Genomic DNA, 25,211 nt, shown 5'->3' with positions numbered 1-25,211 from the left:
ATTTTCGTGGGAAATATCCTGATTTTAAATATTAGCAATTTCCTTCCAATTTTAACAAAAGGCTGGTGCAGATCAACTGCGTAGAACACACAGACCAAGTCTGAGGGTTATATTCCACTTACATATCACCAGTTTATGATCTCTAACCTAGCACATAGTAGGTGCTGTATAAGTGTTGGTGAGAAGTATTGTGTTTTCATTTTATAGATGGGGATATGAAATTCTGCGATTGTCTATAACATGGGTCAGTGCTCCTTCTGTTAAGCAAAACCCAGCTCCTAGGTGCTCCAGCAATCTCTTCCTCCCTGCTCTCTGTCATTAGAAGGCTATTGACAAATGTTTTCTCAATCAATTACTGTAATCAGTCAGCTGCAACATTTACAGGTCACGAGAGCACATCAACAACTGTCAGTAGGTCAGACAATCATGATTCCCATTTGTCAAATGTGCAGTCTCTCCCCATTACATATGCATCTCCATCCAAAGTGCAGAACCTCATAAATAAATGGCTGCTGCAACGCCCTTTAAGAAACTGGCCGAGAGAGATGAGATCATGATGGAAGTGGATCCAATTGAAAACCCCATGGCCACTCAGCCACTTAAAACAGTGCTCTGTGATATAATAATTAACATAGACACTGGAATTTTGTAGCACCAACTGAGCTGTCTGTCTTTAACACAGAAGAGTAATATCTGACATTTATTTTTATTTACTTTTTTACTGCTCCAAAATGTGGTGGTCTCTAAACACCTAGAAGCCTGAGATGAACTGTTTCTGTTTGTTTTCTGAGGCTGTAGCAGTGAAGGGGAGCAGGAGAGTGCAGGTCTGCCTTTTTTTTATTTCACATGTGAGAAGCCTCAAGTCTGTATTCCTTGTTGAGTGATAGCATTTCCGGGGAAACCATATGGCAATTATTAAACATTTATATAATGCCATCTGTATACTCAGTGCCTCATGAATCATAAATGAGACAAGAGCCCTTCTCAGCAAGCTAAGGACTTGCGTAAAAACTAAGCAGGGAAAGTGGAAGAAGTGCAAAGGAGTGGAGCCTGTCAAGTGGAATGGTGCAAGTAAATGAGAAAGGAAGTGATGGGACCTCAGAGGAAACTTGAAAACACCAGGAACTGAGTGTCTGTGGCTTTGGCAGAGACAGAGAAGCAGTACCAGAAAAATCAATAATAATCATCGAAATAATGATAATAATAGTAATAGTAGCAACTTTTATTTTTTTATCCACTTGCTGTCGACTGGGTAAAAAATAAAGTGCTTAATATTCAGTTTTACTTAATGCTATCACCATATAAAGTAGGGATTACTGCTGCATTTTGTAGATGTAAAAACTGAGCTCAACAAGGTGATGTGACTTGCCCAACACCAAGCACTAGTAAGTGGCAGAAATGGAATTCAGGTCTACACGTGTGAGGTCTTAGGTAGCTTTCGGTGAGTGTTCAGGGTCATGAAGACTTGGTATTTGTCTTAATTCTTTTCGCCGCTTTGCTGACTTGACTGCTATGGCTATTAAACAAGTGAGAGAAGGCCCTTATTTTGATGTCATCTTCTCTCTGAAGCTTGTGAGATTCACCTTTCCTCGCTTTATATCTGGTTATTGTCTAGCATAATAATGAAAATACTGTTAATACAAATTATAAAAATAATAATGACAGCTATTATTTAGAGTGCTTATTATGCACTAGAAATTACTGTATTTTCTATTGTTTAATCTTCATGACAATTCTGTGTAGTGGGGCTATTTATCCCTACATGATACCTGGGAAAACTGGAACTCAGAGGGAATACAGTAACTTGTTAAAGGATTTGAACTTAGGTTTGCTCCACACTAAACATTGGGCTATAGGGTTGTTGAGACAGAAGGAAGTTTGGAGTCAAATAAGCCAATCCCTTGCAATATAAAGATCCCAGAGAGAATAAGGAATTTGTGAATGGCTTCGAGGTAGAAAGGAGAAGAAGCCAAACTGGACCGTGGGTCAGCGGACTCCTCTCCAAGTACTTTTTTTTCCCTACTAACGTGCATCATATTGATTACCTGCTTCAGTTCTGTTACTTTTTGGGAGAGAAAATCAGAGGCCAAAAGCAGTCATGTCATTGGAATAAACACATAAGCAAACAAAAAACACGAGGAACAAAGAATGATATTGGTATCAAGACTTTTGAAACTACCTGATTAAAAATACTTGATTTGGACTTAAAAACCACATCAGATCATCTTTACAACTGAACTAGTGCAGGTGGTTTTAACAGTAGTCATTAGGATGAGCAAATGAATGACTGGACAGAAAGGGACAATAACTGGTGATTAAGTGGTAGCAGATAGACACAGACCTAGATCTGGTTCACTCAGTGCATTTTTTCAAGGGAGAAAGTCATCAGTCTTGGAGATTTCCCCCACTCAATATGAGTATCTCTAATTTATTACATACATATCTTAGGCTGGGCTTTTAAAGCAATATTATTTTTTATTTATAGGGGAATTTAAATACGGCATTTTTCAAAGTGTAAACTTCAGATCTAACCTATCAGCTGGAGTCATAAATCACAGCTTCTTCATTTCCAAATCATTAGGGAGACTGAAAGCTTAAAGTATTTAATTTATCCAAACCACATGGGGTAGTTTATCATTGTGCATGATGTACCATTTTTTTTTATTTCAGTGCTGACTAGTAAAATTTTGAACAAATCATGCTGAGTTTTGGGGGTATATGAAGGCAATGCAAACCTTTTAAATCTCCAAGGAGTATGTAATATGAGTATCCGTATGAAAAATGTGTAGAAATGGAAGTTAACATAATACTTAGGATAGCTCCCTGACATTACAGGGTACCTCGTATTAGAATCCATTCTGCATGAAATAAGTTAGATTTTTTAAAGAGAGAAAAATGTGGTGCCTTGATGAATAGAAATGGATAAAATGAATGAATGAGATAGATGCAAAATGGACTAGTCCTTTCTTGGTAAGACAACACATTTTTTTTCCTATTTATAGGTTTCTGTCTATAAATAAAGTAAATCCTCCAGTACTTGCCTTGAAAAATTGTCTTACATTCACAAGAAAATATTTCAGATTATTTGATGAGTAAGTCTTTTTTTTTTTACTTTACTCAAAATCTCAACTGGCTTCAAGTTCATGACTGGAGTAGTGAGGTTACTTATGTCTTTTGAAAGTAGTGGGCATTCCTTAGAATACCAAAGATTTAATATATTAACAATACCAAAACCCAGGATTTGAGCCCAGATCTGTTTTAGCTCCAAAACTCCCAAGCTGAGTCAATCTCAACACCATCCAATGCTCTGCCTTTTAGAGAACAACAGATAGCTCTAGGAAAGAGTAAGCTGATGGGAATATAATCTTCTTCTCAGCTTAAAATAGGCTTGTCTCCCGAGTGCGGCTCTACATTTACCCATTGTTTCTATTTGTGCATTGAAGCCTTCATTTATCTCTGCACTCCCATGTTCATCGAAGCATTATTCACAATAGCAAAGATATGGAAACAACACAAATGTCCATCAACAGATGAATGGATAAAGAAAACATGGTATATATACAAAATGGAATGTTGTTTAGTCTTAAAAAGAAAAAAATCCTGCCATTTGTGCCAACACGGGCACAAATGAACCTGGGAGACATTAGGCTAAGTGACATAAGCCAGGCACAGAAGAACAAATACTACATGATTCCACTTTTATGACATGTCTATAATGGTCAAAATCATAGAAGCAGGGATCACAGTAGTGGTTGCCAAGGAGTGGGAAGATGGAGAGTTGTTGTTCAATAAGTATAAAGTTTCAGTTATGCTAGATTAATAAATTCTAGAGGTCTTCTATACAACATATTATCTACTGTTAATAATATGATATTGTGCACCAGAAAATTTAAGAGGGAAGATCTCATGTTACATGTTCTTACTGCCAACATAACAAAACTGGAAGGTAATGGGCATGTCCATTACCTTAATTGTACTGATGGTTTTTGCGTATATCCAAACTCATCAAATTGCAATAAATATCACTCATTAAATATGTGCAGGTCTTTGTATATCAATTATACTTCAATAAAGCTTTTATTTATTTATTCTTTTTTTTTAAAGCCGTTCTAAAATCCCTGAAATGAGCTTGGTGCTATGCTAGGTGATGGACATTTCATTCTAGTCCTATATATGTTGTTTAAAAAATTTAGACAAAATTAATTTAACAAAGTTTATTTGAGCGTGAATCAGGCAGAACTCCACTTGGAAAAGGTTCAGAGAACTCTGCTTCAGCAGCATGAGCAGCGGGCTTCTGTAGAGTGCACATGAAAGCAAAGTAAAGAAATTGCTTGATTGGTTACAGATAGGCCTTTTGCCTTGTTTAGGTACAATCTAGTGGGAAGTCTCTAGTTGGAGGTTAGTTGGTGATTTCAGATTGGCTAAACTTAAGTTCTGTTTTTTCAGTTGTAATCCCCAGTATTGGAGGTGGGGCCTGATTGATAGGAAATAATTGGATCATGGGGGTGGATCCTTCATCAATGGTTTAGTATCATCCCCTCTTGGTACTGCAGAATGAATTAGTTCTCATGAAATCTGGTTGCATAGAAATTTGTGGCACCTCCCCCTTCTCTCTCTCTTCCTCCTGCTCCAACCATGTAAGATGTCCCTGCTTCCCCTTTGCCTTCTGCCATGATTATCAGTTTCCTAAGGCCTCCCCAGAAGCCACTATGCTTCCTGTACAATCTGCAGAACTGTGAGCCAATGAAACCACTTTTCTTTATAAATTACCCAGTCTCAGGTATTTCTTTATAGCAATGCAAGAATGGACTAATACAGAACCCAAAACACTGGAGCCATCTCAGCCTAATGGCCTTCCAATTAAATGTTTTTTAAAAGTTTTAAGACTCAAATTTGGCATGGACTGAACCTGAAGTAACTGCCCTAGTTTATTCTACAACTTTAGATGACTCTAAATCCTTCTTATGCAATAATTTCTACTTATATCCATCACTTTTTAAACTGTGGAGTCATGAAACATTTCTAAGCCTCAATTTCCTTATCTGCAAAATGGAGGTAATAATTTAATACCTGCTTTTCTAACTTAGAAAAATAAGGTGAGATAGATAGCGTGATGCCAAATATAAGTACAAGGAATGACAATAGTACTAATTATTGGGCTTACATTTAACAACTAACATTAAGCACTACATGATATAAACAATTTACATGTTCCATTTCACATAATCTTCATTAAAGTCTAAAGAGAGAGAGATAATACTATTCTTTCTGCTCTATAGATGAATGAACCGAATCTTTAGAGAGGTTAATAACTTGCCCAAGATCGTGGACTATTGAACACCAACACTGCATAAAATTGCACTTATTGTAGTGAAGGCTGAGAGAACCCTGAAGACTGTAAGGTGACTGTTGACTTGGCACCCAGCTATGAGATGCTGGAGGATGCTCATATCTGTGGACTATTTTAGCCTTGACTACATAGTCCCACACCTCAGATCTGACATATCCGATTGAAAACATTTTCAATGAGCCACACATGGCAGCCAATGCTTCCATTTCAGAGAGGAAACGAGAACACTCACATTTAATAGGCAAGGCTATGCTAAAACCTTTATATATTTTGCCTTATTTTGGCCTCATAACAATGCTATGTGGTAGTTACTATTATCTACCTTTATAGGTCTAAAAATGGAAGTGGGAAGAGATTATTTACTTATAATCTGTTTTTATGTATAAAAATTCAATAACATGAATATACATGTTCACTTAATACAAGTAGAAAGAAAATATGAATACAAACATAAAAAGCCAGAATCATGGAAAATAGGGATGCTGAGAAGATAGAAAAACAGAGGATAAGTTGGGAATGATGCAGATGTAACCACCTGACAGGTTCTTCTTGCCCATTGCACAGACAAACCAATTCACTGAGACTTGGTGGTTGCAGTAGAGAAAGAGTTTAATTAATGCAAGGCTGGGCAAGTGGAAGGACTGGAGTTATTACTCAAATCCATGTCCCTGAGAACTCAGAGGCTGGGGGTTTTATGGATAATTTGGTGGGCAGGGGGCTAGGGATTGGGTGCTGCTAACTGGTTAAGGATGAAATCATAGGGGTGTGGAAAACGGTCCTTGTGCACTAAGTCTGCCTCAAGGAGGGGGCCACAGGACTACTTAAGTCATGAGTCACAGGTCTGAATGGGGTCAGTCAGTTACCAGAATCCAAAAGTCGGAAAAACATCTCAAAAGAACAATCTTAGGTTCTACAAGAACAATGTTATCTACAGGAGCAATTGGGGAAGTTGGAAATCTTGTGACCTCTGGCCACATGACTCCTGAGCAGGATTAATAGAAACTATGCCTATTCTGAATCTTAGCAGAATTCAGGTTCCTCTCATAATTCTAATTTCACGGCTTTTTATTCGTTTTTGGTTCCTGAACAAGGAGGGGGTTAGTTTTAGGGAAGAACTATTATTATCCTTGCTTCCAAGTTAAACTACAAACTAAATTGCTCCCATGGTTAGCTTGTCCTATGCCCAGGAACGAGTGAGAACAACTAGCCTGTTAGGCTAGAAGTAAAATGGAGTCAGCCATGTTAGATTTCTTTCACTGCCATAATCTTTGCAAAGGTGGTTTCACAGATATCATTTTATGTATTTAAATTTAGCCCCAGACAAACCAATGAACTTCATGATAGAACTAAAAGGAAATACAATCAGTTACACAATTTGTCTCATCCCTACAAGGGGAAAAAACATATATGTCAGTATGTCAGGATCAGCAAAGCTTTTCTGAGAGACAAGATGGTTATTTGTACCAAGTCACAGATTTGGAAGGAGGTGGTGATACTAGCTTTAGGACTTGGGTCTTGCTGTCTTCCATCCCCATGCCCTTGCTTTATGGAAAGCTGTTTCCTACTCTGTCTAGCTTGGGAAAAGAGTGTGTTTGCTCTGGTTTCTGTCGATATGGTTTTGCCTTCAGCACTCACCTTGCTTCAGTATAATTAAAGTGTTTTGTCATAGGTAAAAAGAAAAGATGTTGAATTTTAATTCCCTATGTACATAATGTGGGCAGGTTTATTTATTTTCCCCTGCAGCTAACACAGGCACATGGAGGGATAGGACCAAAGGATAGAAAAGGGGAAAGGATGAGAAGGAGGCCCTTCTTAGTGGGTACCTTTATAAATAAATTAAGGCGATGAGTAGAGATGACAAGGACAATGGATTCCATAAAGTGCATCAGGAAAAGAAAGAGAAGGAAGGAAACAAAATGAAAATGAAGCGGAAGCATCTCCTGTGGCTCAAGCACTACCCTTTGACAGAGGAAGGCTGTAAGCAAGGAGGCATCTAGATACAGATTCAAAATGAGGATAAACTGTCCCACCATGGGCCTAGGGAGGGGCTCAGAACTTTGCCCTATTGTCCTTCATTAGCTTGAGTGCAGGACCCCTAACTCCTTCCTGAACACAACTCTTCCCCATCCCCAACAGCAAATCCTGGCCATCTTACTACCACTCTGTGGTCCAGGATAGAATGAACTATATAGTTGGACACATCTGATTCCAGTCCCAACTTTATTATTTTAGCCTTGTGAACATGCTCAAATCATTCCCTGCCTTTGGGTCTCAATTTTCTCTCTTGTAATATGGACATAACAATCCCTTGGCTTCTGAAAAAGGCCAGTCTGTTCATTAAAATGAAAGACTTTGGGAAACTGCAAAAGGTGATGCAGTGAAATATAAGGAGATGGAATTTTCTTCAGTATTTCTGCTTCTATAAGAACACTATGGAACAGAAGTGACCCTCATTATGTTCACGTAGACTAAACAAAAAATAAAATAAGACAAGCAAATGCTAATTTGAATGAGCTAGCCAGTCAATAAATATACAGTGATGAACACAGAAGACTTTACTCCCAAAGAATGCTCTGACCGTGCTTTCAAGTAGATTGAGCTTCATGCTAGATTTCCTACAGACTTCATTGTTATATCCCAGGAAATCACTTACTTTGAGATAGGTACTGGGATTCCCATTCTACGGGTTAAGAAAATGAGAATTGACAAGACATTTTGAGGCCAGTAAATGACAGAGCCAAGCTTAATCTTGATCCACACTGTAGGACTCCAAATCTTGTCCAAGAAGTCATTTGGAGATCTAACAATCACTGGCCAATAAGCTTCCCTAAACAGGGCTTGAGCTCTGGAAGGAGTTAATGCCCAGACTGTATAACGATATAATTATTAGAAAAGAGATTGACTGAACAAGATAGAATTTGAAAATGTTTAAATGTCTGCAAATGTGTTCCAGGAGGAATAGAGAAAAGTATGCAAGATCTAGAGCCTGAAGTTGACATGGATGCCTGCCTACTTGGGATGTGGCTACTGTTAGCATAGTGGCAAGAAATGAAGGGAAACAAGAATAATACCTAGATTTTCTATCAAGATTCTATATGTTTCAAAGTAATTTTACATATGTTATCTCATTCAAATTTGCCCCTTACTCCACACACCCCTCCAATGCCCTACTTTAGTCCTTTTATCTCCCAGTGGAGTTCCTTTCACAGCTCAACTTCCTATCTTCTCTGGGATACCGAGAGTGATCTTTGGAAAGGCAGATCTGACCATGACACTCTTCAAACAAATTCCTTTGATGACTGTCTGTTACTTTTAGGAGAATAAGAGTTCAAATTCTTCTCATGCCATCCAAGGACCCACCACCCCCTTCCTGCCTCAGCTCTTACACGCTCCCATCACAGCTTCAGTGTTGTTTCTACTCTGCTGAGCTGCTTGCCTTTCCCTGACATTCTGAACAATTTTACTCTTCTGGGCTCTTGCTGTTTCCTGTGCGTCCACCCACTCCTCTTCTGTTTTCTCTATAAAATTTCATTCTTCATGGAGCAGCCCTGTTGTCAGCCAGTAAGACTCTTTCAGTTAGAATCAGTCACTGCCCGCTGTGTGTGGCCACTGCACTTTGTTGGCAGTATTTGCATTTTACCTTGGAGTATGGCCTGATTGGTTTTGTACAGAGTGAGCATGGTATGTGTCTTTCTAGCTCAGGAGCATCCTTGAGGTCAGACTTTCTTTCTTTTTCATCTTTGTGTCCTTACCACTTAGCATGGCATCTTAGCATAGCAAAGACAGAACACATGTTTGTGGAAGTAAATGTGAATCAATTGTCATAGCATCACCAAATCCATCATGCTCTCGTGTAGAAAATAAAAACCACACTAGTTGTCTTAATGGAAAATTTAATAGGGAACTGGCTAAATACAAGAGGAATGAAAAGGTAAAAAAAAAAAAAGTGAAGTTACTGCAGGAAGCAGTTATTAACCTTACAAATATAAGAGATTGGGGTTATCAGATTCAAGACATTTGGAAAAGAGAACCTATGAAGATGGGATCCCTACTGGTGAAGAGAAGGTGCTGCCCTGCCAGTTGGCACTGGTACCTCTCCAGGGGCATGATGAGGCTGGTCTGAGAGTGGAAAAAAGCAGAAAACTAGAATCATCTGTTGCCACTAGATGAAGACTGTTCCAGGATGACACTTATAGGAATAGCAAACAGTGCAGCAAAAACAAGTTCTTCCTTTTTTTTTTTTTTAATTGAGATGGGGTCTCACTCTGTCACCCAAGCTGGAGTGCAGTCGCATGACATCAGCTCACTGCAAGCTCTGCCTCCCGGGTTCAAGCGATTCTCCTGCTTTAGCCTCCAGAATAGCTGGGATTACAGGCATCTGTCACCATGCCCGGCTAATTTTGTATTTTTAGTAGAGATGGGGTTTTGCCATGTTGGCCAGGCTGGTATTGAACTTCTGACCTCAGGTTATCCACCCACCCCATGCTGGGATTGCAGGTATGAGCCACAGTGCCCAGCCAAAAACAAGTTATTTTTTCATTCTGGACTCTTGCCTTCCAGTTTGGCAGAACAGAACAGGGGGCCAAGCAGCTCAGGACTAGGGCAGTTTTCAAAGTCCAAGCAGGGTATAGGAGGGTGGGTTTGGAGATGAGAAACAATAGCTTAGTAACTGGTGTAATCCCTGTGAGGTGGGAAGGTGAGATTATTACTGACTACATGTGGAGAAACTCATTTGTAAGTGGCTCAGTGGCTGTTCCTAGTTACGCAGTAATTCAGTGGCAGGGCTGGTCTCCAAACTTCCTGCTGCAAGAAAGATCCACAACTGACCCAGCTGATTGTAAATCATTGAGAGCAAGGACAGGATCTGATTCATCTCTGGACTCAGGGAGATATTCATCATTCACAACTGGCAATCATGCTCTCCAGCCAACCAAGATGGAAGCCTCCTAGAACATTCTGGTGCGCACCAGCTGAGAGGCAGCTCTGCCTGTCTTCCTGAGTGCCTGAAACACAGCTGACACTCGGCAAATGCTTGTTGAATGGAATTAAATTTCATATCAAGAGAGTATGACTGATTAAGAAAGAATACCTCAAGAAAATTGCTACTGACAAAAACGTTTTTGTAGTTCCCTATTTTCCCTTTATATTAATATAAATTTAATATTATTTATTGAGCACCTACTATATGCCAAGCTATATGCTAGAAGCTCAATATATTCCATGTAATTAAGGGTTGAAAATGAAAATTTTACAAATTCATTATCTTTGGGCTCCTTTTCGCAGTGGATGGATCCAGAGAGGACTTGTGAATGAATGAAGCTTTGATGGCTGGAGGTCATGGATTTCTCATTTAAGATAAGAAGTGGCATCCTATGCCAGATGGTTTCCTTCCTCTGCCCTTGCACGTGTTTTTTTTTTTTTTTTCCTCTACCAGGAAGGGCACCACGATTCTCTCTTGTGTTTGGCACATTCCAGTTTAGTGCTCACAGCTCTATTACGGCATCCAGTACCCTGTAAAGTCTGCTTTCACCCTCTATCAGCTACTCTCAATCATCTCTCCTTTTTGTGATATTTTTAAACTTTGTGCATGTCCATCAAGACCCATAAGAAAATGTGGCATATTATCAGTATAAAGAGCTATCTTTCCCAGGAGACTAAGAATTCCTCAAGGGAAGAAGACTTCCTCCTCCTTGTCCTGCTCCTCCTGCTCCTCTTCCTCCTGCTCCTCCTCCTCCTTCTTCTTTCTTCTTCTTTCCTTCTCAAGAAGGAATGATAATTCCAGTGCCTTTCGCTGACACATTCTAGATGCTTTCTGTCAACTGAGTGATGCTCACTTCAGCTCCTGGACCTGAGGTGTCATCTGCCTTCCTGCCCATGGAGATCTTTCACTGGATATCTAACTGCTGCTTGTGTGGCCTCTCAGGCAGACATCATGCCTCGTTCATTTTTTGCATACCTATGTAGTACTTATACATCTATCGCATCTTTCATCTCAAATCCTCATGGCATTCCCCCTCTGTTTGTTATCATTACACCCAGAATGGCTCTTTGAGGTCTCACAGTCATTTTCTTCAAGGTGGAGAAACTGTGGACCAGGAGAAATTCTGGGTCTTCTCAATCAGTCATAGAAGGCTGAAAATGCAATTAGCCATTCTCAGGGCAAATAGAATCTCTGAAAGGCATCAAAGGAAGCTCCTTCCTGCGTCTTCCTTTCCTTGTCCTTCTTCTTTTACTCTATCTTCTCTCCCTCCCCACTCATAGATATATAAAACTGGAAAGGATTAAGAAATCCTGTCACTTAAAACTAATATTTGACAGATGAGGTTAGAGAAGATGGGCAGATTGGGATTCTAAGTCCTTGATTGTCTTCTTAAAAATGATACCACTGAGACCCCTTATGACTTTTACTTGTGTGGATAGGGTTAGGCCCTGCCACCACTTCCATTTATCTTATTTCCTGAACTGGCTGCTTGGCCTTGTCTTGGAGAGGCAACACGTCCACTGGTAACTCCTTCCATCTCTCTGCACATGCCACCACTCACTGCTTGTTTATCAAGAGGTAGAAGAATTTTACTCAAAATTGTGGCTTAAAAATGAAGCAAAATAAAACCTTGATTACAGAGACATATTCAGACATTTGGATTTGTCACTAGGAGTAGCGGATCAGCATTATGTGCTAATTCCATGACATCATGCATACGTTACATTGATAAAGAGACACTGATATTGGGTGTCTACAGTATGCCAGCTAATTTATGTATAATTAAGTTAAAAGGCAAATATAATTCCCAGTGTATAGATGAGGCAATTCCAGCTGAATAAGTTTGAGGGTTCTAATGTAAGGGCGAGGCGTTTGGGCTCTGGAGTCATAAAGACACATTAGTACTTCCCCATCTGAGCTCTGCTACCTCCTCACCGTGCAACTGTACGCAACTCATCCTTTCTGTGCCTCACTTTCCTTGTCTGAAAATGTAGATAAACAACGCTTTCCAGATCAAGTTGTTTTGAGGATTAAATCGAAAAATTAATGTAAGAAGGTTTAGCACTGTGCCTAGCACATGCCAAATCCTTCTTAAAAGTGATAATTGCCCCAGATCATGGAGCTGCTAAGTGTGATGCAGAGGACTTTGAGACAGGCAGAGTTTTGTTTCTACCCTTGCTTCTGCCATCTTGCCTGCAATGTTGGGTTGGCATGAGAATTATAGATAATTTGAATAAAAAACCTAGCACAATGACTGCCCTGGAATAAATGGAAACTCCATTCTTGCAGTTGGCTCAGGGTTAAAAAAAAAAAAAAAAGAAAAAAGAAAAAGAAAAATTGGAGTCATTTTTGACCTTTCTCTCTCATACCTCCCTGATACCATCAGCAGATCCTCTGGCTCTGCCTTCAAAATAAGTCTATGATTGGATCATTTCTCACCGCCTCTGCTGCTGTCACTACCTTGTTTGGATTACTACAATGGCCTTCTACCTGATTCCCCTTGCTCCACCATCCCCAACTTTCAGCCTAGTTTCCACTTAGCAGCTACAGTCAGGTTGGAGAATGTGAGTTAGATCAGTAACTCTGCATCCTCCCACAGCAGCTTTGCAATTTGCTCAGAGTAGAAGCTGAAAACCCAATAAAGGCTTACAAATCCTCTGTGAGCTGCAAACCACACCCAACCCCAGCTTCAGCTGTCACTGTTTGCCACTTTTATTTATTGGCTTTTGTTTTGTTCATCAAACACCAGAATACCTTAAACATTTGCATTTGCTGTTGCAATGCTCACGCCTCAGATATTGACATGACTGATTCCTCTTGTCTCTTGAATTTTTCTCAAGCGTTGCCCTATTGATGATGCCTTTCCTGAACTCCCTATTTAAAGTTATACCTGGTTTCCATCGCCATCGCCACCGCAACCATGCTGAGCTCTCTTTCCCACTTTCTTTGCTCTATGTTGCGCCTACCGTGAGCTACCCCTTGAGTGTATGAATAATGATTTGATGGTTTCTACTACTTATTGTCAAAATATTCTAGTATCTAATTCTGAGTTGTTTGGCTGTGAGACTGAATATTCTACTTAATTTTTCCTTGGCAGTGAAATATGAACAATGATACATATAAGGTTCTGCATGCTTGTACTTGGTCACTTGTTTTTTGAGAAGTAAATAAAACACCATTTCCAAACAGTCTAAACAGAGTGGCTGACATACACCAGGAGTCAGTTAATAGTAATTGTTTTTCATTTGATTAAATGAATTCCATGGCCAGGCACGGTAGCTCACACCTGTAATCCTAGCACTTTGGGAGGCTGAGGGAGGCAGATCACAAGGTCAAGAGTTGGAGACCAGCCTGGCCAACATAGTGAAACCCCTGTCTCTACTAAAAATGCAAAAAAAAAAAAACATTAGCCGGGCATGGCAGTGTGTGCCTGTAATCCCAGCTACTCAGCAGGCTGAGGCAGGAGAATCGCATGAACCAGGAGGCGGGGGTTTTAGTGAGCCCAGCTGAGATTGTGCCATTGCACTCCAGGCCAGGCAACAGTGTAAGACTCTGTCTCAAAAAAAAAAAAAAAAAAAAAGAAAGAAAGAAAAGAAAAAGAAGTGAATGTGAATTCCATTCAATTTGGCTTGACAATGATTTATTGAGTTATATTTTAAACTTCTTAATAGAGTTTCCCTTTTAAAAGGCATACCAATTATAAATACAGAATTAGTTGTGAAAATGAATATTTACTCAGAATAAGATATCACAAGTTGCACAATGAACTAAAATTAACAAATATAATTAATGTCAGAAAAATCTACATAGTAATATTTTAATTAATTTCTTTTAAACACAATTGAATAAAACTTCTTTGCTACTTTTTTGGGCTGCCTGTCTTTTCAAAGATCTCCCTGCCAGATGACAGTGGTGTCTCAATATCATTTTCTTTACAGGGAATCAGAAGTTAACTCAGTCTTTCCTCTAGCATGGTTGACTGGAATTTGTGTTTATTATTGATAGTTGGGATGCATAAAGCATATTACCTCACCCACAGGCAGTCATGCTATTTGTAGTACTGCTAGAGATGTGTGCCCTATAAATATTGGACTGCTGATACGTTCTATTTTGTGATTGCACTCGAAGAAAATAATGCATGATGCATTTATAATTGTATCTGCTGCACAGTCTGCACATCCTGTGAGAAAAGTCGCTCCGCGTCGACTGGGCATCCTGACTTTCTTATTGCTTTCACTGTTGATCCTGTCCCACTTTACCAAATCAAGCCTTGTCTCTTACACACAGACTCATACTACAAAGGGTTGTGCTGAGATGTGAAAACTTCAGAGGGACTATTTGAAATATTGTTTAAAAAAGCTTCATCTAATCAAGATGCCATAATGTCCTCTCTCTCCACCCCCATATATGACAAAGAGGTGTCTTTCTAATGAAATTTATTTTTTAAGTTAAAATATTTAGAAAATGGATAATCTCTTTAGCTCAATTGTCTGTTCACATTAATTGCATTAACATTTATATATGTATGAAGAAAAAATTTAAACTCATTAAACTTTATGATCACAGAAAATTGAATGTACACACATATCTATGTGCATAATTATATGTACAGTATGTGTATAATTTTGTTGTAGAGATGTGTGTTGGAGTAATCAAAGAAAAACCCTAAAGTGTGGAAAATATGTGAATATAATATTCTCTGGAGAAAGAAAGTGGGAACATGTTTGCTAGGAAAAAAAAGGAAGGCTATACAATTTCAACTGTTGGAAAAGAGTTCATACCTGTATAGAAAAACAAATTAAATGGATAATAACTATATCAAATTGCCATCACATTTAAATTCATTTAGATATTTTTAAGAGTGATGTAAATATTGAGATTTGCAAAATGCAAGAAATGACATCCTTTGCAACTGTAGTGAAAAATGCTAGATGTCAACCTGAAAATGTGCAAGGGTAAATAATTTTTAAAATTTTTGCATTAGGATATATCACTGTCTAATTAATAATGATCCACAAAGATACCCATGTCCTAATTCCTGGAACCTGTAAATATGTTAGGGTCCATGCCAGAGAGGCATTAAAGTTGCAGATGGAATTAATGTTGCTAATCAGTTGAACACGAGATGAGGTGGTGTTCTTGGATTAGCCAGGTGGGTCCGATGTAATCACAAAACCTCTTAAAAGTAGAAGAGGGAAGCAGAATAGGGAGAACCAGAGAGCTGCGACCTGACAATGACTTCATCGGATGTTTTTGGCTTTGAAGCTAGAGAGACCATGAGCCTAGGAATGTGGGTGTCCTCTAGAAGTTGCCAAGACAAGGAAATAAATTCTCCCTTAAAGCCTCCAAGAACGAAAGCAGTTCTGCTGACTCCTTGATTTTAGCCCAGTGAGACCCCTTTGGGGCTTCTAATTGCCAGAACTAAAAGAAAATTATTTTTTTCCTGTTTTAGGTCAGTAAAATTTTTAATAATTCACTACAGCAGCAATAAGAAAGTAATATGTACATATATTAACTGACATAACTTTACTACCATGTTTCAAAGAGAAAAAACAGACCTCTTTGTTACCTTTTCAAGTAATCAAAATACTGACTTTAAAAGTAGTAAAGGAACACTTATTCATCTCAAGTCCATGTATATAGCAGTCTGAACATTTTAGAATAATGGTTCTCAAACTTTAGTGGGCACCAGAATCACCCAGAGGGCTTATAAACACAGATTGCTATATACTTCACCCACAGAGTTTCTGATTCACTGGGTCTGGGGTGGGGACCAGGACTTTGCCTTTCTAACAACTCCCTGGGTGCTGCTGCTGCTGTGGGCCTGAGGACAACACTTGGAAGACCACTGACCAAGAAGACTGAAAGAGAGAGGAGGCTTCTGAGAAGTCAAACCTGTGTTAGAAATTTTATACGTTAATATGTGTATGTTTTATTCACAGAAATGCCTCTTTAGCCCCTACTTAGAGCCCATTTACTCTGTTTTGAATAATACAACACGATTTTACTACCAATTTTTTCTAGCTTATATCAGACTATAATAATGACAAACAGGAGGCACTGGCATTTGCTAGACATAAGCAAATTTGCAACAATAATGAAGGAAATCAGGCTGCCTGAGAGTGAGGCGGAAGAATGAGAAACCATATGAACTTAAAATATTCATATGGCATATGAATATATGAAGTTAACAGACATACAAAGTTGAAATATTTAAGTATCTGCTTCCTTGTAGTGAATTGGTGATTAATCACCAATACTTGTTTTGCTCTGAAATTGCAATGTCCAATAGAAAAGCCACTAGTCACATGTGGCTATTAAGCACTCAAAACATGACTGATATGAATTGAGATGTTCTGTACATATAAAATGCACTTGGAACTTTGAAGACTAAATATAAAAAAAATGTAAAATACCTTAACAATTTTTAAATATTGAATACATGTTGAAAGGATAAAATTTAGGATATATTGAGTTAAAATATAGTATTAAACTTGATTACACTTGTTTCTTTTACTCTTTTAAAGACATGGCTTCCAGAAGATTTGGATTCTGAATAACAATGACTGAATGGGACACTGGTATTTTGTTCAAGACTTTTGAGTTTCTTGAGAGCAGAATGGATTTATTTCCTTGGACTGCCCCAGACCCTTTTGCAGTGCATGGTCTATGGGTAGTATTTGTTTTATATGTGCTGAAAGAATAAATGAATGTATAAGTGAATGGATTAAAGAAAAATGTTTGTGGAGGTATCACACCATCTGATTTCAAACTATACTACAAAGCTGTAGTAATTAAGACAGCATGGTATTGGCAAAAGAGTAGAAACATGGACCAATGAAATAGAATAGAATATTCAGAAATGAACCCACACATACATGGTCAATTGATTTTTGACAAAGGTTCCAAGAGTGCACAATGAGAAAATGATAGTTTGTTCAATAAATGATGCTAGAAAAAACAAATTTCTACATGCAGAAAAATGAAAATTGATGCTTTTTTCATACCATGTATAAAAACTAACTTGAATTAGATTAAATACTTAAATTTAAGACCAGAAACTCTAAAACTACTATAAGAAAACATAGGAAAAAACTACAAGACATTAGTCTAGCAAAAATAGACAAAATATTACGTCAAATTAAAGGACTTCTGCATCTTAAAGGAAACAATTACTGGCATGCATAGACAACCCACAGAATGGGAGAAAATATTTGTAAACCATATATCCAAAAAGGGGCTAACATCCAAAATATGGAAGGAGCTCACTTAACAAAAAACCCAATTAAAAAATGGAATCTGAATAGACATTTCTTAAAAGAAGACGAATGGCCACAAATATGTTTTCAAAAAAATGCTCAACATTGTTAATGATATAGGAAAGACAAATTAAAACCATAAGAAGATATCACTCAACACTTGTCAGAGTGGCATATCAAAAAAACAAAGATAACAAGTGTTGGTAAGGATGGGGAGAAAAGGGAAACTTTGTACACTTTTGGTGACATGTAAATTAGTACAGCCATCATAAAATCCAGTATGGAGCTTCCTCAAAAAATGAAAAATAGAATTACCATGTGATCCAGCAATCCTACTTCTGGGAATTAACCCATAACATTTGAAATCAGTTTGTCAAATAGATGTCTGCACCTCTATATTCATTTAACACTATTCACAAGAGTCAAGTTATGGAATCAAGCTAAGTGTTCATCAATGGATGAATGGATACAGAAAATGTGGTATATATACACAGTGGAATACTATTCAGCCTTAAAAAAGAAAATTCTGTCATCTGGACAACACGAATGGTACTGAAGAACTTGATGTTAGGTAGAATAAGTCAGGCACAGAAAGACAAATACCACATCTTCTCACCTAAATGTAGAATCTAAAACAAACTCATAGAAACAGAGTAGAATGCTGGTTACAGAGGCTGGGGGAATGGAGAATTAATGATTAAAGGGTATAAAATCTGTGAGACATGAATGATGTGATTTATTCTTTTTTGAGTTCTATTGGACCGTGTGTTGAACATAGTTAATAATAGAGAATTGTACATTTCAAATTTGCTAAGAGTGCATTTCAAATGTTCTCACTACAAAAAATGTTAAGTATTTGAGGTAATGAAAATATTAATTAGCTTGATATAGTTATTCCACATCACACTCATAAATTATAACATCATGTTGTACCCCATAAATTTATACAATTATAGATTGTCAATTCATGATAAAACAGTTTGAAATACTCTGCTTAAGAAAGTAAGAGACTTCTTGCAGAAATATTTCCCCCCAAAAATGGATAGGATTTTAAAGCTCATTCTTTAAGGGTTAAAGTAAGCTTCGGTCTTCTGAAAAATACACGAATATGAGGTGTCTCATTCTCTAACAATTCAGGATGGATGATCTACTACTGTCTTTAGATTTAAAATGCCTCTTTCTCTCCAAACAACACATAAATATTTAAAAAACAATTGTAGTGTAAGTTAGTAGCTCGTGAATCATTTATTGAATGAACATGAATTTGACATGCTTATCATACTTGAATTAAGAAATGGTAAAATATGAAATAAAAAGTCCTAGGCTTAAGAGTCCTAAACTTAAAACTCAGAAGATTTGAAATAGAGTCTTAAATCTCAACCCCAAGTTATGCAAGTCTCACCTTATGCAAATTGTGTTTTAGATGCATTGTTGCACAAGGTACACACTATAATTTTAGGTGTGTAGAACAGTTTTGCTCTATGTGTGGAAGTACAAAATGGCCTTATGTCCAGGTGCAAACTAGAAACAAGAATCCAAGTGGGTGGAGGGAGGAAGGGTAGACATCCTTTGTGTTTATTCTGTTCCCATGAAGATTCTTGCTGCTTTAGGTTGCATTCAGTGTTATTTCTGGGTAAGTCCCTCCTTTTAACATTACAGTTAATGCTGGAAAGCAACCAGGTGATAGCAAGAAAACAAGGAAATCGTTTAATTTATAATTGACTATGTAAATAAGAACGCAATATGAAGAAAGTCAACACATTTCTTTCATTGCACTTCAACAGTGAAAAGTATTTTGAATACAATATGAAAAAGACATGTTAAAGTGTCTGCCACTGCTTTGTCTACTCACTACATGTGGCCATTAAAATTTAAATCAGAATTAATTAACATTGAATGAAATTAAAAATTCAGTTCTTTAGTCATGTGAACTACATTTCAAGGGCTCAGTGGCTGCATGTGGCTAATGGCTACTGTGTTGGACAATGTGTAGAACATTTTCATCATCACAGACAATTCCATTGGAAAATGATGCTTTAGGCAATTAATTCTCTTAACTTGTCTGAGCTTGGTCTCCTTATGTAGAAAAAAGGAAGAATAATAGTCAGACCTTAGTTACATCACAAGATTTCTGTGAGAGTCAAATGTTCATAAAAGTACTATGCACGTGGTACATGAAGGTGGATTATTATCATTATCTCAATTGAGGAAGGAAGTTTGGAAGTGAGAACTGGTGGTAGACACATGGTTGGGTGTTCACTCCAAACAAAGCATAGAACTTTCTGTGATGCATCCCTGAATACTTCTATGTCCCTGAATATTGCTGTATCCTGAATACTGTTATGCTCTTGCGTTCCATCTTACACCTTCTTGGTCTACATGTTCTACTCCAGCCATTGCTAAAATAACCAGTTACCACGCAGGTCAAACCAACAGCATCTAGCCTTGGCCGCACCCTTGAAGTCTTGCTTTCTGCCCTGGGCCTTTTATGACATGGCTAATATGCAGTACTTAAAGGAACCTGCTCAGTCATTCTGATGCATATGCAACTCAGAGTACAGAAGAGGTAGCACCTTCTGGGATAACCCTTGACCAGTGAAGGTGAAGTGGTGGATAAGTAATCCCCTCTTCTATCCCCTAGGTAGCAATTCTACAGAGCATTCTACAAGGCTTCTCAGAGGGTCTGTAAGTGGGACTGAGCCCCAGATGCTCACAGTGGTGTTAGCTCCATAGTGCACCTGTCCATTCCCTGTTTCATTCTCCACAACTCCCACCCCCCATTTCTTGAAGTTACTTCTCCAAAATAAACTCTCTGAAAGTCTCTATCCCAGGTCTTACTTTTTAGGGGGAATTTAGGTTAAGACAAGGTCTTGGGATGATTTCCTGCTTTTAGTCCACAATTTTTTTCAAAGTCATTTGAGATTTGGGATTTAAACAGGTTGCTTTAGTATTCCCCATGGCCTTGGGCTCAATGACATATTACTCACATCAGTTAGCCAGGCAATTTTTAATGCATCTACAAAGTGAAAGAAGATTGTAAAGATGGAAAAGTCATATATACAAAGTTCTCCATCTCCGTTACAACCCAAATCCCCTACTATGATATTAAAGTCAGCACGTTTTCTGTGAAGTGATTAATGTGTGCCCAGAACTGTGCTAGTCAGTATAACATAATCAGTATGATATGATAGGAATAGATTTATTTCTCATCCCCAAATAGCTTATAAGCAATATAAGAATGTACGCTTTGATGTCAGATGATCTGGGTTTCTGATTATTATTTATCTCAAAACCACAGTTGTTTCATTCATATTGCTTTGTATTTCATAACAACTTATTTAGGAATTAGACTGTAAGCTCAATGAGGGTAAGAACTGTGTCCTGTCACTGAATACTTTATCCTCTATCCAAGGATAGTACCTGGCACATAGAAGGCGCTCAGTAAATGTGTTTTTGATTTAATCAATTACTGTTAATATTTATTGAGTTTTAACTTTGTGCTAGGCCAGGGGTTGGCAAACAGTTAGTGGGCCAAATCCATCCCATAGCCTATTTTTGTAAATCAAATTTTATGGAAACTTCACCATCCTTGTCCTTGGCCACATTGTCTATGGCTTCTGTTTAGCTATAATGGCAGAGTTGAGCAGCTGTGACAGAAACTATGTAATTCACACAGCCAAAAATATTTACCATCTGGCCTTTACAGAAACATTTACCTATCCGTGTGTTGGGCTATAGATTTCTATGAAAACTAAATTTTCTGTATGAGCTATAACATGAAAAATGTCTGTGTCAAACCCCTACTGAATAGAAGCCATTATTCTAGAATACTACACACCAAGGCACAGAGAATATTGTCTGTGTATAGAGTCTGAAGGTGTGAAGGAGAGAGAGCTAACAGCCTTTTCAACAGGGCCTGGAACAGGGACCTGGCCAAGCCTACACTTCCTCTTGGTGTAGTGTCTTTATGGCCCTAGCAGCAGATAGGAGGAATCACTCTTATTTCTCCCCCAAACCCCCTACTCAGAATATCTGCGTTCTGCTTTCTTTTGATGAGATTCATAGTTACCAATTTATCAAAAGAGTAAATTCCACGTGTCTTTTTTTTTTATTTTATTGTATCTACATCCCTAGATTCCAGGATAGTGCTTCTCCATTATAAATGTTTACGGAATTCATGAACTTTTCCCCATATTATAGATGAGGAAACTGAGGTTCAGTCAAAGGAAATAGTCTTGTTTGTTGCAGATACAGAAGCTACGGTCCCTTCATACAGGTAATGAATAGTGGAGATAGATTCAAATGTGGGTCTACTTGGCTCAACAGCTGGGTTTTCTGTCCTGCAACCTGCCACCTGGTAGCTGTGCTCTTGAGCCAGGTCCTTCAGCACTCTAGGGCTTACTTTGCTCATCCATAAAATGGGCAGAGAGTTGGGAATTAACTGGATGATTGCTAAATTCATTTCTTAACTGTGGAAGGTACTAAAACAATACGAGCTGTTGTTTGTAGCCATAAACTGAAAAGACCGGTTTTGTTTAGCTGAGGTGAGAAAACGTTTTCAAAAATAGGGAAAAACATGAAGGAATCTTATAGTGGCTGAGCAATGTAATCAAATAAGTTACTGTTTTATATAGCTTCAGGCCCTATGCCACAACTAGGTCAAAAATCACTTGAGTAAGACTCAAAGGTCAAGTTGACCAGAAAATAAAAATCAAATGGACCAAGTGGCAGAGACAAAGCCCACTTTGCTTTCAAACTAATACATTCTATTCGAGCTGGAAAGGGCTTATCTCAATAGCTTAATCCCATGACAACACTTTGCACGGGTTCTCCTTGGTTTTCCCAGTGCTGTAAATCTTGTCTCTCTTTAACCCATGCTAAGTTATTTTGTTTTTTTTAATCAGTATTTTTAAATTGTAATTACAAAAATCATTTTCTTCCTCTGTTCCCTTTACTTTGAAAGGCATGCTCTTTAAAATCTTCTACACTCAGGTCTCCTTACCTGTGACCTGCCATCTCATCAGCTTTGTTGTCAAAGCCTCAGTGGCTTCAGAGCACAGGGCTTATTTTTACTTTTATGTCCTGACTTGCCCTGGGCCGCCTGAGTCATTCAGAAAAGGTGGCCCAGGGACATGAACACCATTTCTTTTCCTTAATTCCCATAATTAATTGCTTTTAAATTAGGGGCAATGACTCTTTGGCAAATGACCCTGCCAAATACTTGCTTACTCCCCTTTGTGAGCTATTCAGCTTTGGCCACTGAAACCACACGGTTAGTTGCAGATGTAGTGTGATGAGCTGTCTCGGGAATATTGAGCCAGATCCTGATCTTGCCAGGCTACAGAGGGCTGGTTATTCATGAACTATGGGGGCTTTTTAAATATACAATGGTTGTTGTGCTTGAAAACCTGGAAGATATTTAAACAAAATATTTTTTCAACAGTTTTTCAATGAATGTTTACTGCATTTACCATTTTAAGTGTCAGGACATGAAGATAAGGCAGACAGATTATGCTTCTGCCTTCACAGGCATTCTAGTGCAGACAGACAGAAAATGTACAAGAAACCAGTAGTGTACACACGCACAAACAAATACACAAGTGATTGTTGATAAGTGCTCTAAAAGAAATAAAATATGATGATGAGGTACACAGCGGTGTGATGCTGAAGATAAGAAGCCAAGCAAGTCATCTCTGAAAAGGAAACATTTGAGCAGAGGTTTGAGTGATAAGAAAGAGCCAAGCATATAAGGAACTGGCTGAGTAGGAGTGGTGGTGTCCAGGTAGATGGGTTAATAACTACATAAACTCTCAGATGAGAAGGAGCTTGGTAGGTTTGGGAACACAACCAAGCCCAGTGTGGCAAGTTGGGTGAGCATGGAGGATATTAATTCAAGTTGAAATGAGAGAGGTTGACATTGCTACCTGTGTAAAGAGTACAGGCACCAACTGTGTGCTGGGAACCTTGCTGGGTTCCGGGGGTGTAAAGACCAATAAAATATGTTTATGGACCAGATAAATTGCCCTGAGGGTCTTACCTTATTGCATATTGCCAGTTGTCAGTGTATCTCAGCAATGGCAAGCCCCTCAGGTCTCAGTGTATTCAGGTAAAGCTCCCTCCCCAACCCAGGACTTCTATCACTGATGCTCCTGGACTGCTGGGACTTATCACATAACCATTACACCTCTCATCCCTCCCTCCTTAGTCACCATCAGAGGTCAAGGCTCCCATCTAATCTCTTATCAATGGACATGCCTCTAGGCTTCCCAAATATGACTCTATCCCCATCTCTTTCTGCCCTTCTAAACTCCTGTTCCCCACCCCTGGAATTGACAGTGAATCAAATCTGAATCTATCCCCATCTTTCTCTGCACACTGGAATTCACAATAAGACATGAATAAACCCCCATATGTTCCACAGTTTCTTGGTCCTATCACCTCCTTGATGTAAATGAAGACTTTCTGTTCCCTGATAAAGCAGCTTCCCCTGTGATTGGTGACTGTTTGTTTCATCTCTCACACCTCAGATAACTTGAGGCCTGGGGGTGAGGAAGCTAACTCCTTTCTCTCTGTTGTCTTTCCCTACTCCAAAAATCCTAGCATTTTTGAAGCCCATCATTAGACTTCATTACCCAGAAGAACTTGGCATAGAGGAAAGTGTTGACTTTACTTACATATTTTATTATTTTTTTTGTTTGTTTTTTAGAGCAGTAGAGGAAACTCATGGTCAAGGTCATAGACCCTGGAATCAGATTGCCTAGGTTGGATTCAGTCTCTGCCATTTACTAGTTATGACAGTAAAAAAGATTAATTAATACTTTGGGACCCAGGTTATTCATCTTTAGAATGAGGATAGGGTAGAGGTGAAGATTAAATGAGGTAATACACGTGAAGTACACTGAATGGTGTTTGGTATATTTTAAGTGCCATGTAAGTGTCTGTAATTATTTTGTTGTTATTAACTGACTGATAACTTGAATGTCTGGCTTACTTCTTCCTCTTCTCCTCTCTGTCCGATATCATTCTTGGCAAATTCAGCATTCATGAAGGTGGAATCTCTATGACTCTGGCCCTTTAGCTCTTTGGCCTAGTAGCTCTGACCATTTCTTCCTCCACCCACCTCTGCCACCTACTCACATAGTCATGCCCTAGGATTTGTCATCTCCAGCAATTGCATCATCTTCAAAATCTTGATTTCAGTACATTCCACTTGCATACAGTACTCTTCTGTCCTAGTAGCTTATTCATTCTGGCATCTTCCCTCTGGAGACTGACATCATTATCTCAAATCCACTCACCCTTCTACAGCTTTGTCTGTATGTATGTTTCCCTTCTCATCTTCACTTCTCTCACCTTCCAGCTTATAATTTATGACCCATCATTAAGATCAGTGCCTTGAAAAACCACTTATCTTTCTTTCCTTTCTCTCCTTTTGCCATTCTTGACTAGATAAATACTGGATAAATCCAAACAATCACTTAGTCTGAGCTTGCTCCTGAGAAGTTGAAATATCACAATATTACTCGCAGGACTCACTTTGCACGTGCACTTGGTTACCAGATAATCTAACTCAGATATCAGTTAATCTAACATTTCTATAGCAGATTTACTTTTCCATTTT

At 38.4% G+C, this 25,211-nt stretch overlaps 2 long non-coding RNA genes across 2 annotated transcripts in view, besides 1 other annotated feature; one reads left to right on the top strand and one right to left on the bottom strand.

The window, feature by feature from the left end:
- Positions 1-25,211, bottom strand: part of CASC21 (cancer susceptibility 21) — a 147,995-nt gene that overhangs the window by 27,626 nt on the left and 95,158 nt on the right. The window lies entirely within an intron of this gene.
- The window catches only part of CASC8 (cancer susceptibility 8), a 192,464-nt gene that overhangs the window by 117,134 nt on the left and 50,119 nt on the right, over positions 1-25,211 (top strand). The window lies entirely within an intron of this gene.
- Positions 23,956-25,155: an enhancer, noted in NCBI's record as "CDK7 strongly-dependent group 2 enhancer chr8:128352096-128353295 (GRCh37/hg19 assembly coordinates)". NCBI's record gives its function as "activates an origin of replication core promoter dependent on BRD2, BRD4, P300/CBP, MED14 and CDK7 cofactors, with strong dependence on CDK7, by STARR-seq in HCT116 cells {active_cell/tissue: HCT116}" and the evidence as "EXISTENCE:reporter gene assay evidence [ECO:0000049][PMID:35650434]".

The sequence above is a fragment of the Homo sapiens genome, chromosome 8, assembly GCF_000001405.40.
Source record: "Homo sapiens chromosome 8, GRCh38.p14 Primary Assembly".
NCBI classification, from domain to species: Eukaryota; Metazoa; Chordata; class Mammalia; order Primates; family Hominidae; genus Homo; species Homo sapiens.
This window is presented reverse-complemented; position numbering and strand designations above follow the sequence as displayed.